The 14,814-nt window shown below is 43.6% G+C and overlaps 1 long non-coding RNA gene across 1 annotated transcript, besides 5 other annotated features; it reads right to left on the bottom strand.

Annotated features, from left to right (window-relative positions):
* Positions 1-2,250: 2,250 nt before the first annotated feature.
* Positions 2,251-9,589, bottom strand: LOC124904902 (uncharacterized). The gene is made up of 2 exons (XR_007067584.1): positions 9,135-9,589; positions 2,251-2,747 (listed from the first exon to the last, which is right to left on the bottom strand). It is a non-coding gene; the product is annotated as an uncharacterized LOC124904902 (long non-coding RNA).
* Positions 5,876-6,485: an enhancer, noted in NCBI's record as "H3K27ac-H3K4me1 hESC enhancer chr20:37411245-37411854 (GRCh37/hg19 assembly coordinates)". NCBI's record gives its function as "activates a minimal SCP1, AML or CMV promoter by ChIP-STARR-seq in primed H9 embryonic stem cells {active_cell/tissue: H9 hESC(primed)}" and the evidence as "EXISTENCE:reporter gene assay evidence [ECO:0000049][PMID:30033119]".
* Positions 6,486-7,097: an enhancer, noted in NCBI's record as "H3K27ac-H3K4me1 hESC enhancer chr20:37410633-37411244 (GRCh37/hg19 assembly coordinates)". NCBI's record gives its function as "activates a minimal SCP1, AML or CMV promoter by ChIP-STARR-seq in primed H9 embryonic stem cells {active_cell/tissue: H9 hESC(primed)}" and the evidence as "EXISTENCE:reporter gene assay evidence [ECO:0000049][PMID:30033119]".
* Positions 7,591-8,091: an enhancer, noted in NCBI's record as "H3K27ac hESC enhancer chr20:37409639-37410139 (GRCh37/hg19 assembly coordinates)". NCBI's record gives its function as "activates a minimal SCP1, AML or CMV promoter by ChIP-STARR-seq in naive H9 embryonic stem cells {active_cell/tissue: H9 hESC(naive)}" and the evidence as "EXISTENCE:reporter gene assay evidence [ECO:0000049][PMID:30033119]".
* Positions 8,092-8,592: an enhancer, noted in NCBI's record as "H3K27ac hESC enhancer chr20:37409138-37409638 (GRCh37/hg19 assembly coordinates)". NCBI's record gives its function as "activates a minimal SCP1, AML or CMV promoter by ChIP-STARR-seq in naive H9 embryonic stem cells {active_cell/tissue: H9 hESC(naive)}" and the evidence as "EXISTENCE:reporter gene assay evidence [ECO:0000049][PMID:30033119]".
* Positions 8,925-9,589: an enhancer, noted in NCBI's record as "OCT4-NANOG-H3K27ac-H3K4me1 hESC enhancer chr20:37408141-37408805 (GRCh37/hg19 assembly coordinates)". NCBI's record gives its function as "activates a minimal SCP1, AML or CMV promoter by ChIP-STARR-seq in primed H9 embryonic stem cells {active_cell/tissue: H9 hESC(primed)}" and the evidence as "EXISTENCE:reporter gene assay evidence [ECO:0000049][PMID:30033119]".

The following is a 14,814-nucleotide window of genomic DNA, read 5'->3' as shown; positions in this document are numbered from 1 at the left end:
TCCTACCTCCACGCCTTTGGATGCACCGCTCTCTCTGCCTGGGATGCCCTTCCCTGCCCTCCTCTAACAGGCCACTCCTAGTCACCTATCCAGAGCTCTCTGCTCATCCAGAACATCCATGACCCTGCCTCCTGTCACCAATGTCAGGGACCATGATGTTTATCACCACTCTTATCACACTGATCACTAGCACCACCATTTATAGACTGCTGCTTTGTGTCAGGCTAAGCTCTTCTGAGCTCCTTTGATTCTCACAGCAACCCTGTGAGGTCCATTTCACAGATGAAGAAACTGACAGTCAGAGTAGGGGAGTTACTAGCCCAGGACCACAGAAGAAGGAAATGGCAGAGTGAAGACTTGAACCCAGGTCTGCCTGGTTTGAGAGACTGTGTTTGTCACCTCTAGCCACAGGGCCTCTGAAAGCCCTGGCATTGGTTAAGCCCCCTCCTCTGTGCTATGCTAGCCCCTGGTTTAATCCTATCAAAGCACCAATCCCCTCATTAATGCAGGTTGCACCAGCTCTAGTCTCACCTGCCAGGCTCACTTGCTTATGCTTGGGCTGTCCCAGGGAAGGTCTCACCTGAGCTTAGACATAGGCTGAGGGCCAAGCATGCATTGTATATTACATGGCAACGTCATGACATTAATGGAGTCCAATGGACCACACTTCCTGACATCCACGCCTATGCATAGCCCCCTCTCACACTGACTTGGGGCTTGTCCATGTGACTTGCGCTGGCCAGTGGGCCATCAGCAAACATGAGGCAGGCAGGAGCTTGGGATGCTTGTATACACAGGGCCTGGTTCTCTAGGAACACTGTCACCTTGTGAATAAAGTCGGAGTAGACTCCTTAAGGATGAGAGGCTACATGCACGGAATAATCCAGCCACTCAACCTGTTCCAGGAATCCCAGCTGATGCCCCAGACATGTGAGTGAGGCCACCTTGGACTGCCTGCCCCTGTTAAGTTCCGTATCACTATAGACATATGAGTGACTCTGGCATGACCAGCAGAAGAACTGCCCAGCTGAGCCCAGCATGAATTGCTGAGCCACAGAATCCTGAGCAAATACAATAGTTGTTGTTTAAGCAGCTAAGTTTTGGGGTGGGTGTTATGCAGCAATAGATAACCAATCCCCTGCTGTGTGTCCCCTTCTGCTCCAGCGCCCTTCTTAGGCTTCTAGAGGGGCCTCGCTGCTGCTGCCGGTGTCCACCGCTCAAGCACTCCTGCCGTTCCCAAAGCAGTCAATATTTGAGGCACCAAGCCCCTCTCCCCAGTTCTGGTGCCCCCTTGGGCCTGTTACAGCCATGCTCACTTGTAGCTTGTGCCTTAGAGAACTCTGCTCTGAAACATCCTCAGGTGAGGCTGGATCCAGGGTCTCACATGATGTCCTTGGGGCTCTGTGTTACTCAGCTCTTGGCTCTGCTAGATTCTGCTGGGATTCAGTGTGCAGACAGGGTTTCCCCACATAGTTGCTGTGGTCCACCTCCCACATGTTAACTCAGTGAGCAGCTGGAGCCCTCGGGCAGCTTCCATTCCCTTGCCTGGCTATGGGCCTGTAGTGGAGGCTTTCCAGGTGTCCACCTCAGTGAAAAAAAGCCCTGAAGTAGAACCTCAACAGAGTTAATGGTGGCAGCTTTGCCATTTCTGACCTCCAGCCTGGGGACAGGCAGGAAATGATTTTGCAGTCAAGACCAGTGTAATAGTAATAGTACCATAATAATCACTTTACTTTCCTGCTATGATCCTCTACTTAATACAAGGATATTACATATTTTACCCTTATTTTGGTATATTTTGTTTATCCTCATATTCTTTTTTTACATGATAGCATGCTATATATATAATATATGATATATATTATATTATATATTACATATATTTTATATATAATATATATTATATATATATATTTTATATATTTTTTATATATATATTTTTAGACAGAGTCTTGCTCTGTCACCCAGGCTGGAGTGCAGTGATGCGATCTTACCTGACTGCAATCTCCACCTCTCAGGTTCAAGTGATTCTCGTGCCTCAGACTCCTGAGTAGGTGGGATTACAGGTGTGTGTCACCATGCCTGGCTAACTTTTTGTGTTTTTAGTACAGACGGGTTTCACCATGTTGGCCAGGCTGGTCTCAAACTCCTGGCCTCAAGCGATCCACCCGCCTCAGCCTCCCAAAGTGCTGGGATTACAGGTGTGAGCCACCACACTTGACCAATAACACACTGTTCTTTAATTTCTTGTTTATTTTTATATTAGCATGACCTTTATTATCTTATTATTTTATATTTTTAAAATCCTTTGGTCCATCAACTTCATTTATAGTAACATCATTTCCAAATACATATTTTTGCAGGGATACTCTTTGCAGTGCTATATGTAACAGAATAAACTTGGAAACAGATTTATTCAAATGCCATTCAAAGATAGAATGATTAAATAAACCATGGAATGAAATATAATAGAATACTATTCAAATGTTTAAATGAATGAGTTACTTCACAAGGAATGTACAGGAACTATATGACTAAAACTTTCAAAGGCTATTATGTGCCATGAGACTTGAATAAAGGAAAAAGTCATATCCATTTTTGGCTAGAGGAGTCAATTGAAGAAAAGATACCATCTTTCTATCTTTTCATCTATAATTTTAATGGGATACAAACAAACATACCAACAGGATTATTTTGGATCTTGACAAGCTGATTCCAAAGATCATGCAGGGAAATCAAGAAAAGTTCTGAAAAAGAAAGAGAAATGCGGGAGACAAACTCTGCCAGATCTTAAAGTGTATTATAAAGTGACAATAATAAACTGTTCATTGCAAATTCAGAAATAGAAAGATGAATGGAGCAGAAGAGCAAGTCTGGAAGTAGACCACAATATTTAAGGTCATTTAATAAATAATAAAAGTGGCATTTACATTAGTGGAGAAAAGACGGATTACTCACTAAATATTGTTGGTGCAACTGGCTAGTCGCCTGAAAAGAAATTCAGCTGGAGACTTACTGCAAATCTTTGCCAGGATAAATTCCAACTGGATAAATAAATTATGGTACATGCATACAATAAAATACTACAAAGCAATGAAAATGAACCACAGCTACACACAACATGAATGGATCTTAAAAACAATGTTGGCCGGGTGCAGTGGCTCACACCTCTAATCCCAGCACTTTGGGAGGCCGAGGTGGGTGGATCACCTTAGGTCAGGAGTTCGAGACCAGCCTGGCCAACATGGTGAAACCCTATCTGCACACACACACACACAAAAACACAAAAATTAGCTGCGCATGGTGGCATGCCCATGTAATCCCAGCTACTTGGGAGACTGAGACAGGAGAATCACTTGAACCCGAGAGGCAGACGTTGCAGAGATTGCATCACTGCACTCCAGTCTGAGCAACAGAGTGAGACTCCGTCTCAAAAACAAACAAACAAACAAACAAAAAACAATGTTTAGGGGCTAGGTTCAGTGGCTCATGCCTATAATCCCAGAGCTTTGGGAGGCCAAGACAGGAGGGTTGCTTGAGCCCAAGAATTTGAGACCAACCTAGGTAATAAAAGGAGGCCCCTGTCTCTACAAAAAATAAAATAATTAGCTGGGCATGATGGCACATGCCTGCAGCCCTGGCCACTCAGAAGGCTAAGGTAGGAGGATCACTTGAGTCCAGGAGTTTGAGGCTGTAGTGAGCCTCAAACTCATGATTGTACCACTGCACTCCAGCCTGGCTGACAGAGTAAGACTCTGTCTCAAAACAACAACAACAGAATAATGTTTAGGGATGCATAATGAGGTAGCAACATGATAAGGAACATGAAATAGAATACCACTGACATCAGTACAATGGTCTCTTCTAAGGAGGAAGGAGTGGATTTTAATGAGGGAAGATGGATCATACTGGAGGCTTCTAGGGTGGCAGCAGTATTCTATTTCTTGACCACAGAGGGTGGTGGTCATGCAGGTGTTCATTTAGCCACAGTTGTTTGGGTGTACATTTATGTTTTATATCATTATATGTGTGTATGTATTACCAAAAAGGATTTTTTTTTTTTGAGATGGAATCTTGCTCTGTCACCCAGGCCAGAGTACAGTGGCATGATCTTGGCTCACTGCAACCTCCACCTCCCGGGTTCAAGCGATTCTTCTGCCTCAGCCTCCCAAATATCTGGGACTACAGGCCCGCGCCAGCACACCTGGCTAATTTTTGTATTTTTAATAGAGACGAGGTTTCACTATATTGACCAGGCTGGTCTCGAACTCCTCACCTCAAGGGATCTGCCCGCCTCGGCCTCCCAAAGTGCTGGGATTACAGGCGTGAGCCACCGTGCCCAGCCCAAAAAGGATTTTTAAAAAACCACATATGTGAAAAGAAAACGTAGGATTTTTTTTTTGTTATCTCAAAGTGAGTGAGGCCTTTTAAAGTATGACATAAAACCCAAAAGCAATTTAAGTCCACGAAAAGAATCTGAGTGGAAAAACACCCCAACAAAGTTAAAAGACAAATACCATCATAGGAAAATGTTTGCAATTCTCATCCGTTTCTTAAGAGAAAAGAGCCAAGGAGGCCGGGCGCAGTGGCTCACATCTGAAAACCCAGCCCTTTGGGAGGCTGAGGCAGGTGGATCACTTGAGGTCAAGAGATCGAGACCAGCCTGGCCAACATGGTGAAACTCCATCTCTACTAAAAAAAAATTTAAAAATTAGCTGGGCATGGTAGTGGGCACCTGTAATCCCAGCTACTCAGGAGGCTGAGACAGGAGAATCGCTTGAACCTGGGAGGTGAAGGTTGCAGGGAGCCAAGATTGTGCCACTGCACTCCAGCTTAGGTGACAGAGTGAGACTCCATCTCCAAAAAAAAAAAAAGAAGAGCCAAGGTTGGAGAGTAGATTTTCAATGCATTATCCATGAAAAATAATATTAAGATAAGGGAAAAAAGCAGAAGCTTGGTTTGTATTGACATGGAGTGATCTTCAAGACATATTGTTAAGCCATAGTATGCTACCGTTTGAGTAAAATTTATATGTATATGTCATAGATATGCTGATTGCATGTCCATGGCGTTATCGTGTTTGTGACACATATAATTTATACAGACATACATTATAAAGAGACAAGGAAGAAGCATCCCCACCTGTAATCCCAGCTACTCAGGAGGCCGAGGTGAGAGGATCGCTTGAGCCCAGGAGTTTGAGACCAGCCTGTGAAACAATAGTGAGACTCCTGGGTTTTTGTTTGTTTGTTTGTTTTTTAAGCAGCAGCTCACTACGCACTGCTACTGAGTGATATCCAAGAAATATTGCTATATGATAAACAAAACAAGGCTAGACAAGAGTGTCATTACTTTTTATCTTATTTTTTGAGACAGTCTCACTGCAACCCAGGCCAAAGGGCAGTGGCACAATCACTGCTCACTGCAGCCTGGATCTCCCAGGCTCAAGTAATCTTCCCACCTCAGCTTCCGGAGTAGCTGGGTCACCATGCCTCACTAATTTTTTTTGCTTTTGTAGAGACAGGGGCCTTGCTACATTGCCCAGGCTAGTCTCAAACTCCTGGGCTCAAGGGATCCTCCCACCTCAGCCTCCCAAAGTGCTGGGATTATAGGCATGAGTCACTGTGCCTGGCTCAACTTTTTAATTTTTTTAATGGAAAATTTTAAACACACACAAAAACAGAGAAGTATAACCAGCCCCTGTGTACCTATTCCCCCATATTCAGTGACAATCAACACACGGTCACTCACTCTTGTTTTATCTATAAGCCTTTGCCTATTTTGGAGCAAATCCCAAATATGACTCCAGCTGCCAACATTTCAATATGCATCTCTATAAGACAAGCTCACTCACTCTCTCTCCCTCCATAAAACTACAAAAATCACAACCACATCTTTAAAAACTATCAATAATTCTTTCATATTATTAAATATCCACATTTGCCAGATTTGCTCAGAAGTTTCTTTTATCAAACATGGCTTATTAGAATTAGGAACCAAACAAGGTCCACACTTTATATTTTTGTTATGCTTTTAAATTTTCTTTTTTCTTTTCTCTCTCTCTCTCTCTCTTTTTTTAAGGCCAAGTCTTGATCTGTCACCCATGCTGGAGTGCAGTGGCATGATCTCGGCTCACTGCAACCTCTGCCTTCCAGGTTCAAGCGACCCACCCATCTGATCCTCCTGAGTAGCTGGGACTACAGGTGTGCATCATCACGATTGGCTAGTTTTGTTTTTTGTTTTTTTTTTTTTTTTGTATGTTTTGGTAGAGACAGGGTTTCACCACGTTGTCCAGGTTGGTCTCAAACTTCTGCCCTCAAGCGATCCGCCCACCTTCGCCTCCCAAAGTGTTGGGATTACAGGCGTGAACCACCGCACTGGCCTAAATTTTCTTTTAATTTATATCTTCTCCCTCTCTTTTCCCCCTTTGCAATTTGTTTGGTGGGGGGAAAATGCTATTTGTCCTGGAGAGTTTTCTGCATTCTGGATTTTGCTGTTTGCAGCCCTGTGGTGTTATTTATCATGTTTGTGACAGACTGTACTCGTTTGTCCCATTTAGCAACTACCCTTCTCCACTCTGACCTTTGAATTTGCCCTTGGAGACTGCCATGTGTGAATTACATCAGCTGCGCTCTCTTGCCCTCTGGCTTCAGATGGGTTTGGCCAATAGGGAGCCCTGGCAGGTGTGGGAGGGAGGGAGGACAATGCAGTTGGGGCGTGTATTTCCCTGTCTCCCTCCTGGCAAGGCCACCTTGGTTTGGCTGTGCTTCTTGACTGAAGCTGTGTCCCTCTCAACACAACTGTTCTATACAACTCTTTCTCCTTCCAAATTTGGGTAGCCTCTCCTTTCCTATTGTAAAGGCTTCTCTGAGGACCTTCCCAGGACCCTGCACCATCTTTACACCCTGCCTTCACATCTCATTCTCCTAACCTGAGTATCCCATCTGCTTCCTGTTGGGATGCTAATTCATAATATGTTTCTCTGTCCCCAGAATTTCTAGTAAAATGGCAGTTAAATTTAGTGGCTTGATCACATTCAGGTTCAAATTTTTTCCTAAGAATTCTTCATGGATGATGTGCAGTATGTCGTATTGTATCACACCAGGAGGCACATAATATCCATCCATTATAAAGATGTCCATCAACTCTTTTTCTTTCTTTTCTTTTTTTTTTTTTTTTGTTTGAGACCAACTCTGTCTGTCACCCAGGCTGGAGTGCAGTGGTACGATCTCGGCTCACTGCAACTTCCAAGTGATTCTCCTGCCTCAGCCTCCCAAGTAGCTGGGACTACTGGGGTGTGCCACCACGCCTAGCTAATTTTTGTATTTTCATAGACGGGGTTTCACCATGTTGGCAGGCTGTTCACGAACTCCTGACCTCAGGTGATCCACCTGCCTCGGCCTCCTAAAGTGCTGGGATTATAGGCATGAGCCACTGTGCCCAGCCTTCCATCAACTCTTCACCGAGTGGTTTTTAGCTGTCATTGATGAAGAATTTGTCTCTTGCCTTTATTTCATTAGGAGCTAGAAAATGGTGGTATTCGGGAGGCAGAGGCTGCAGTGAGCCAAGATCACACCATTGCACTCCACCCTGGATGACAGAGCCAGACTGCGTCTCAAAAAAAAAAAAAAGAAAGAAAGAGAAAATGGTGGTAGGTATTTCATCATTCTGTTTTCATTTGTTTAGCTAGAAATCCTCTACAAAGAAAAACATTCCCTTATTATCTGTTCGGTTGCCATGAGGTACAGTTTCTACAAGAAAGGTGAGATCTATGCCTGCTTTTGCCCTTTATTTCCTAGTTTCAGAATGATGAACTGGTTCCCTAGCATTCTCCAAAGGTGACCATGATGAATTCATAGATTTTAGTATGTTTCAACCTTTCACTGTTATTTTTTCAGATGCTCAAATTGTCCCATTCCTGGGCCAGCGGGAGCCCCTTCAAGTGGACTCCTGAATTTTGAGGGTTTTATTGTTGTTGTCATTGTTGTTTTGTTGTTGTTTGTTTTTTTTGAGATGGAGTCTCACTCTGTCGCCTAGACTGGAGTGTAGTGGTGTAATCTCGGCTCACCGCAACCTCTGCCTCCCAGGTTCAAGCGATTCTCCTGCCTCAGTCTCCCTAGCAGCTGGGATTACAGGCGCCTGCTACCACGCCTGGCTAATTTTTTGTATTTTTAGTAGAGACAGGGTTTCACTGTGTTGGTCAGACTGGTTTTGAACTCCTGACCTCAGGTGATTTGCCTGTTTGATTGGCTGTTTGTTGTTCTAGGCTAATTAATTAATATTTGTAAAGAGAAAATACATCATGTGTTCATATGGATACGTGCAATTCAAATTTAGGATTATATGATTTTTCAGTTTTTATTTTATATTTTTATATCTTGTTATACTGAAAATCTTGGTTGCTAACAATGTTAACATTATTTGAATATATACACACATATTTATATCTTCAGAATAATCATACCAATGCCATTACTAACAACATAATTACTGAAAACAGTAAGATTTCTTACTGTGCGGTTATTTTTTGTTCTTAGAATATATCCCACTAAAGATATACATTCAACTACTGTGGTTTCTTTTTTTCCAACTACCATGGAAAGTCACTTAAAATAAAGTCACCTAATTAAAGTCACTTAAAATAAGTCCTCTCCGTGTGAGTAAACCACCAACTTGATATATAATGAGGTTCAATTGTTTCACTTTGCTTTGATTTTAAGGATTGTGCTTTTATTTTTATTGAAATTGGTTTGTTTTGTAGTAGTGTATAACATACACACAATTCTCAAGTCAAATATGCAAAGTATGTATTGTTAATTTAAAACGAAGCAAGGCCTCTCAAACTCTTTGTTCGAAGAAAATCATAGTCATAGGAGAAAGATGAACAAAGAAACTTGCAAAGCTCTTCTGGCCAATACAGACATTGTAGACCTTCATTTTTTAAAAAGAGATGTCAATTGCAAGGTTATTACCAGGGCAACATGCAATTAAGCAAGGTTACCAATTTAAAAGCAGATTAAAAAAAAAAAAGTACACAGTTACATTTCTTTGAAGCCCAGGTGGCTTAAAAGATTCCTTTGTTTCATATACCATTTGCAGCAGGTATCAGAACTGGATGAGTCACACATTCTCACCTAAGTGCCTGTCCTGGGAGCAGGGGGCGGAAGGAATGATCTCCTGGGTGCTTTATCAGAACAGGCTTTCACCAGCTTTATGAGGCTCTCAGGAGAGTGTCTGCTTTTCCACTCTTGCAGCGGAAGAAGGAACATCTCCTTTGTCTTTCTGAGATTCCCTTCTCTAGAAGTTGTCAATCGGGAGAATCTGCATTCTCAAGGTCAAGCTCTGGAATTCCATTAGACAGCAGGGAGCCAGAAGAGCAGGCTGAGGAGTCAAATCGAGAAATGGAAAGAAACAAGCCAGGAGAAGTCTTACGATTCTGCTTCTACAGCCTGCAAAGAGCCAAAGCCGAGGTGCTGCACGGCCCTGAGCTACACCTCTGCTCTCACTTTCATCACCCTACCAGGCTCCTCGGGTGGCTTCTTCCCACATGCCCCCCCCCCCCGCCTCCCAAGACGGAGTTTCGCTCTTATAAACGGGCTGGAGTGAAGTAACGTGATCTCAGCTCGCTGCAACCTCCTCCCCCGCAGGTTCAAGCGATTCTCCTGCCTCAGCCTCCAAAGTAGCTGGAATTACAGGCACCCACCACCATGCCCGGCTAATTTTTGTATTTTTTAGTAGAGATGGGATTTCACCATGTTGATCAGGCTGGTCTCGAACTCCTGACCTCAGACGATCCACCCACCTCAGCCTCCCAAAGTGCTAGGATTACAGGTGTGAGCCACTGCGCTCAGCCTGGGCCGCTTCTTTAAGTTTGGCCCTTCTGCAGAGTCAGCTTGGAATTCAGAAAAGAGCCTTCAGAGATTTTGCATTCCTGTCATTTTGGTGCTCCCCAGAAAGCTTTGGAGTGGCATCAAAGGATCTACCCACTCACCCTGTTCCCATAGCCCCTAGCTTGGCACACACCAAGGAGTGCCAGAACTGGCTGGATGTGATCGGTATACCCTGGATTTCCCAGTGTGTCTCAGCAGTTTTGTAAGAGCTTTCTTATTGCACAGGCCCAGATGTGAGAAAAGTTGTCAAGAAAATGAGGGCAAGTCATCCTCTCCTTTGGGGCCTTCTGAAAATATCCTGGTCCATTTTATTCATATCTTAGAGTATACTGTAGCATTTGAGTGTATCTTCTCTGAATGGCTAAAGGAATGCCTGTAGCAAAGGCTGGCAGAATCACCATCAACACGAGGACCTAGTTCACACTCTTGGAGTGCCCCTTTCTATTGATAACCAGGGCACGGTTATTAATAGTCCAAATGTAAAGCCTTGGAGACTTAACACCACTTGTGATGAAACCCAGTCCAGATTATTGCTGAAGCATTGCAAGCTGGGGAGTATCAGTGGGTAAAGCCCTGCCCCCATGACTAAAGCAAAAGGGTTTCCAGAAATTTGTCCTGGCTAGGGCATACGATCAACCTCAATGCCAGGCAATCCACAGGAGGTTCCCCGGGCAGGGGATCGGCTGGACAGCACTACCCTACTCCTGGCCACGTGCTCATCAAAACCTGATGCAGGCCGGGCGCGGTGGCTCACGCCTGTAATCCCAGCACTTTGGGAGGCTGAGGCAGGTGGATCACGAGGTCAGGAGATCAAGACCATCCTGGCTAACATGGTGAAACTCCGTCTCTACTAAAAATACAAAAAACTAGCCAGGCATGGTGGCACACGCCTGTAGTCCAAGCTACTCGGGAGGCTGAGGCAGGAGAATCGCTTGAACCCAGGAGGTAGAGGTTGCAGTGAGCCAAGATCACACCACTGCACTCCAGCCTAGGTGACAGAGCGAGACTCCATCTAAAAAAAAAATAAATAAATAAAAATTTAAAAAACTGATGCAGGCTGGGAAGTGCAGGCAGCCAAATTCATCTCCCAATTCTTGTGGAACCAGAGGGTTGTGTAGACTGAGGAATGGCTGCCTGCAGAACCCCACCCCACTCCATGTCCTCTGGAACTTTTCCAAAAGGCTACTTAAGCTGGGCACTGGCCAGAGGCGAAGCCCCCTCCCTCATCCTGTTAAGCATTCCTCAGAGGAATGTCCAAGCTGAGAGACTAGCGTCAAGGAAATGACCTCCCTCCATCCCTACTCTCCTGTACTGGAAAGGGCCAACTTGCAGGTTAGTGCTGAAGACCATCTTTTTTTTTCTTTTTTTTTTTTTGAGACAGGGTCTTGCTCCTCTGTCACCCAGGCTGGAGTGCAGTGGCGCAATCATGGCTCACTGCAGCCTTGACCTCCCAGGTTCAAGCAATTCTCCCGCTTCAGCCTCCCGAGTAGCTGGGACTACAGGCGTGCACCACCACCATCAGCTAAGAGTTTGTTTTTTTTTTTTTTTTTTTTTTTTTTTTTTTAGATGGAGTCTCGCTCCGTCACCAGGCTGGAGTGCAGTGACACGATCTCGGCTCACTGCAACCTCCACCTCCTGGGTTCAAGAGATTCTCCTGTCTCAGCCTCCTCAGTAGCTGGGACTATAGGCATGTGCCACCACACTCAGCTAATTTTTGTATTTTTAGTAGAGATGGGGTTTCACCATGTTGGCCAGGATGGTCTTGATTTCTTGACCTCATGATCCGCCCGCCTCAGCCTCCCAAAGTGCTGGGATTACAGGCATGAGCCACCACGCCAGGCATTTGTTTGTTTTTTAATAGAGACAGGGTCTTGCTATGTTACCCAGGTTGGTCTTGAACTCCTGAGCTCAAGCAGTCCTCTCATCTTGGCCTCCCAAAGTGCTGGGATCACAGGGGTGAGCCACCACACCCAACCAAGACCATCTTTTTACATTTCTCTAGAAGACTACTACATAAAAAAAATTCATACTGTTATGGGATTCACAACATAATAGTAGATAAAATACATGACAATACCACAAAAGACCAACCGAGGGGAAACAGAGTTATACTGTTATGGTAGCATTCTGACATTGTATGTGAAGTATTGTAGAATTAATTAATGGCAGACTGTAATTTTTTTTTGCCTGCGACCCCCCAGAGTGTAATATTTTAAGGATATATATTGTAATTCCTAGAACCACCACCATACACACACACACACACACACACACACACACACACAAGGGCATACAGTCATAAATAAATAGAAATACTAAATAACTAAAAATGAAATACTAAGAAATTAAACATGGCTAAATGACCTGCTTTGGCCAGTGAAATTTGAGTACTCGTGGTGGATATGTTCTGGGTGGCACATTTGGGAGCCAGGACTTAACGCTTGATGTTCTCTTTCCTTGCTTTGCGTTGAGAAGGAAGGATCATAAGATGGTGTGGAGTAATTAATTATCCACAGCAATGCATCACCCCCTCCCCACACTCCACCATACTGGTATTTACTGAACATGCAGCATAAGAAATATACTTGGTGTTAAGCCACTGAGATTTTGGTGTTTGACACATACATTTGCATTTCCTGGAATAAAACCCATTTGGTCGCGATGTTTTTGTTTGTTTCGTTTTGTTTTGAGACAGCGTCTTGCTCTGTCGCCAGGCTGCAGTGCAGTGGTGCGATCTCAGCTCACTGCAACCTCCGCCTTCCGGGTTCAAGCAATTCTCCTGCCTCAGCCTCCCAAGCAGCTGGGACTACAGGCATGTGCCATCACGCCCAGCTAATTTTTGTATTTTTAGTAGAGACGGGGTTTCACCATGTTGGCCAGGATGGTCTTGATCTCTGGACCTCGTGATTTGCCAGCCTGGGCCTGCCAAAGTGCTGGGATTACAGGCATGAGCCACTGCACCCGGCCATGATGTTATTTTTTAACGTGTTGGTGGATTTCAATTGCAAATAATTTGTTTTCTCCATTGATATTTTTAAGCAAGATTGTTTTGTGTGTGTGTGTACAACCTACTGGATTTTGATAGCAACATTATACTCACTACATAAAAATCATTTAATTTTTTTTTCCTATGCTCTGGTAAAGTTTAAGGAACACTGGAAGTATCTAGTGTTTAAGGCTAATAGCTATTAAACTCAACTGGACCTGGAGTTTTTTGGAGGGAGGGGGGCAGCTCTGTGGCAATTTTCTTGAGTTCATCTATGGAAAAAAAAAAAAGTCTGTTTGAACTTTATATATCTCTGTTAAGGTCAGTTTTGGTGAATTATTTTCCTAGAAAATTCACTTTTTTAAAATTAAAGGCTTGAATGCAGAAAATTGACAATTGCAGCTAGATTTTCTCACGTATTTCCAGAGTGTGTGAAAAATAGATGATTATTTATTTGAGACAGGGTCTCACTTTGTTGGCCGGGCTGGAGTGCAGTGACACATTTATGGCTCACTGCAGCAATCCTCCCACCTCAGCCTCCTGAGCAGCTGGAACCACAGACATGCAACACCACACCCAGCTGATTTTTAAATTTTTTTGTACAGGTGGAGTCTCCCTATGTTGTCCAGGCTGGTCTCAAACTCCCAGACTCAAGTGATCTTCCTGCCTCGGCCTCCCAAAGCGCTAGGATTACAGGTGTGTGTCACTGAGCCCAACCTATTTCTTCTTTTGATGACTAGTACCTTATTTATTACATGCATTTGTGCTTTCTACATTAATTAGGTTTTCTAGTAGTTTAAAAATGTTGCCATCCTTCTTCAAATTTATCATTTTTGTTTTCTAATTATTCAACTTATTTAACTTCCTAGTATTAGTGCTGTTAAAAAGTCTGACACCATCTAATTTCCCTTTCTTGTGTAAGCCTGCATGGAGGCTGAGAAGACTTTTTTTTTTTTTGAGACAGTCTTGCTCTGTTGCCCAGGCTGGAGTGCAGTGGTGCGATCTTGGCTCACTGCAACCCTGGCCTCTTGGGTTCAAGCAATTCTCATGGCTCAGCCTCCCAAGTAGCTGGGATTACAAGTGTGCACCACCAAGCCCAGCTAAGTTTTGTATTTTTAGTAGAGATGGGGCTTTGCCATGTTGGCCAGGCTGGTCTCAAACTCCTGGCCTCAAGTGATCTGCCTGCCTCAGCCTCCCAAAGTGCTGGGATCACAGGCATGAGCCACCACTCCTGGCCCGAGAGGACTTCTTTTATCTTTAAAATCTAATCGTTTCACTAGGATCTGACACCTCTGAGTCAACTTTCCCAAGCACACAGAGTGGCCTTACAGTATTTATATTCAGGGTGGTTTGTTTTGTGGGGGAAGAAAATTTTATTATCAGTTTAAACATTAATTCTATTCCAGTGTTTTTTCTTCAACATAAAACGTAATGTAGTTGATAAAACCTAAATATAAGACCTGAAAAACTCCTAGAAGAAAACTCCGGGAAAAAGCATCACGACACTGAATTTGGCAATGATTTCTTGGATATGACACCAAAAACAGACAATGAAAGCAAAAGCAGGCAAATGAGACCATATCAAACTTAACTTCTGCCCATTAAAGGAAACAAGAGTGAAAAGGTAACCTACAGAATGGGAGAAAATATTTGCAAACCATGTATCTAATAAGAGGTTAATATCCAGAGTATATAAAGAACTCCTATACTCAACAAAAAATGAAATAACCCAATTAAAAAAGGGGCTAATGACATGAATAGAGACTTCTCTAAAGAAGGCATGCAAATGGCCAATAAGCAAACAGAGAGATGCTCCACATCACTAATCATCACGGAAATGCAAATCAAAACCACAATGAAATATCACCTTACCCCAGTTAGAATGGTTATTATCAAAAAGATGAAAGATAGTAAATGAGGAAACTATCAAAAAAAAAA

This window comes from Homo sapiens, chromosome 20 (genome assembly GCF_000001405.40).
Source record: "Homo sapiens chromosome 20, GRCh38.p14 Primary Assembly".
NCBI lineage: Eukaryota > Metazoa > Chordata > Mammalia > Primates > Hominidae > Homo > Homo sapiens.
This window is presented reverse-complemented; position numbering and strand designations above follow the sequence as displayed.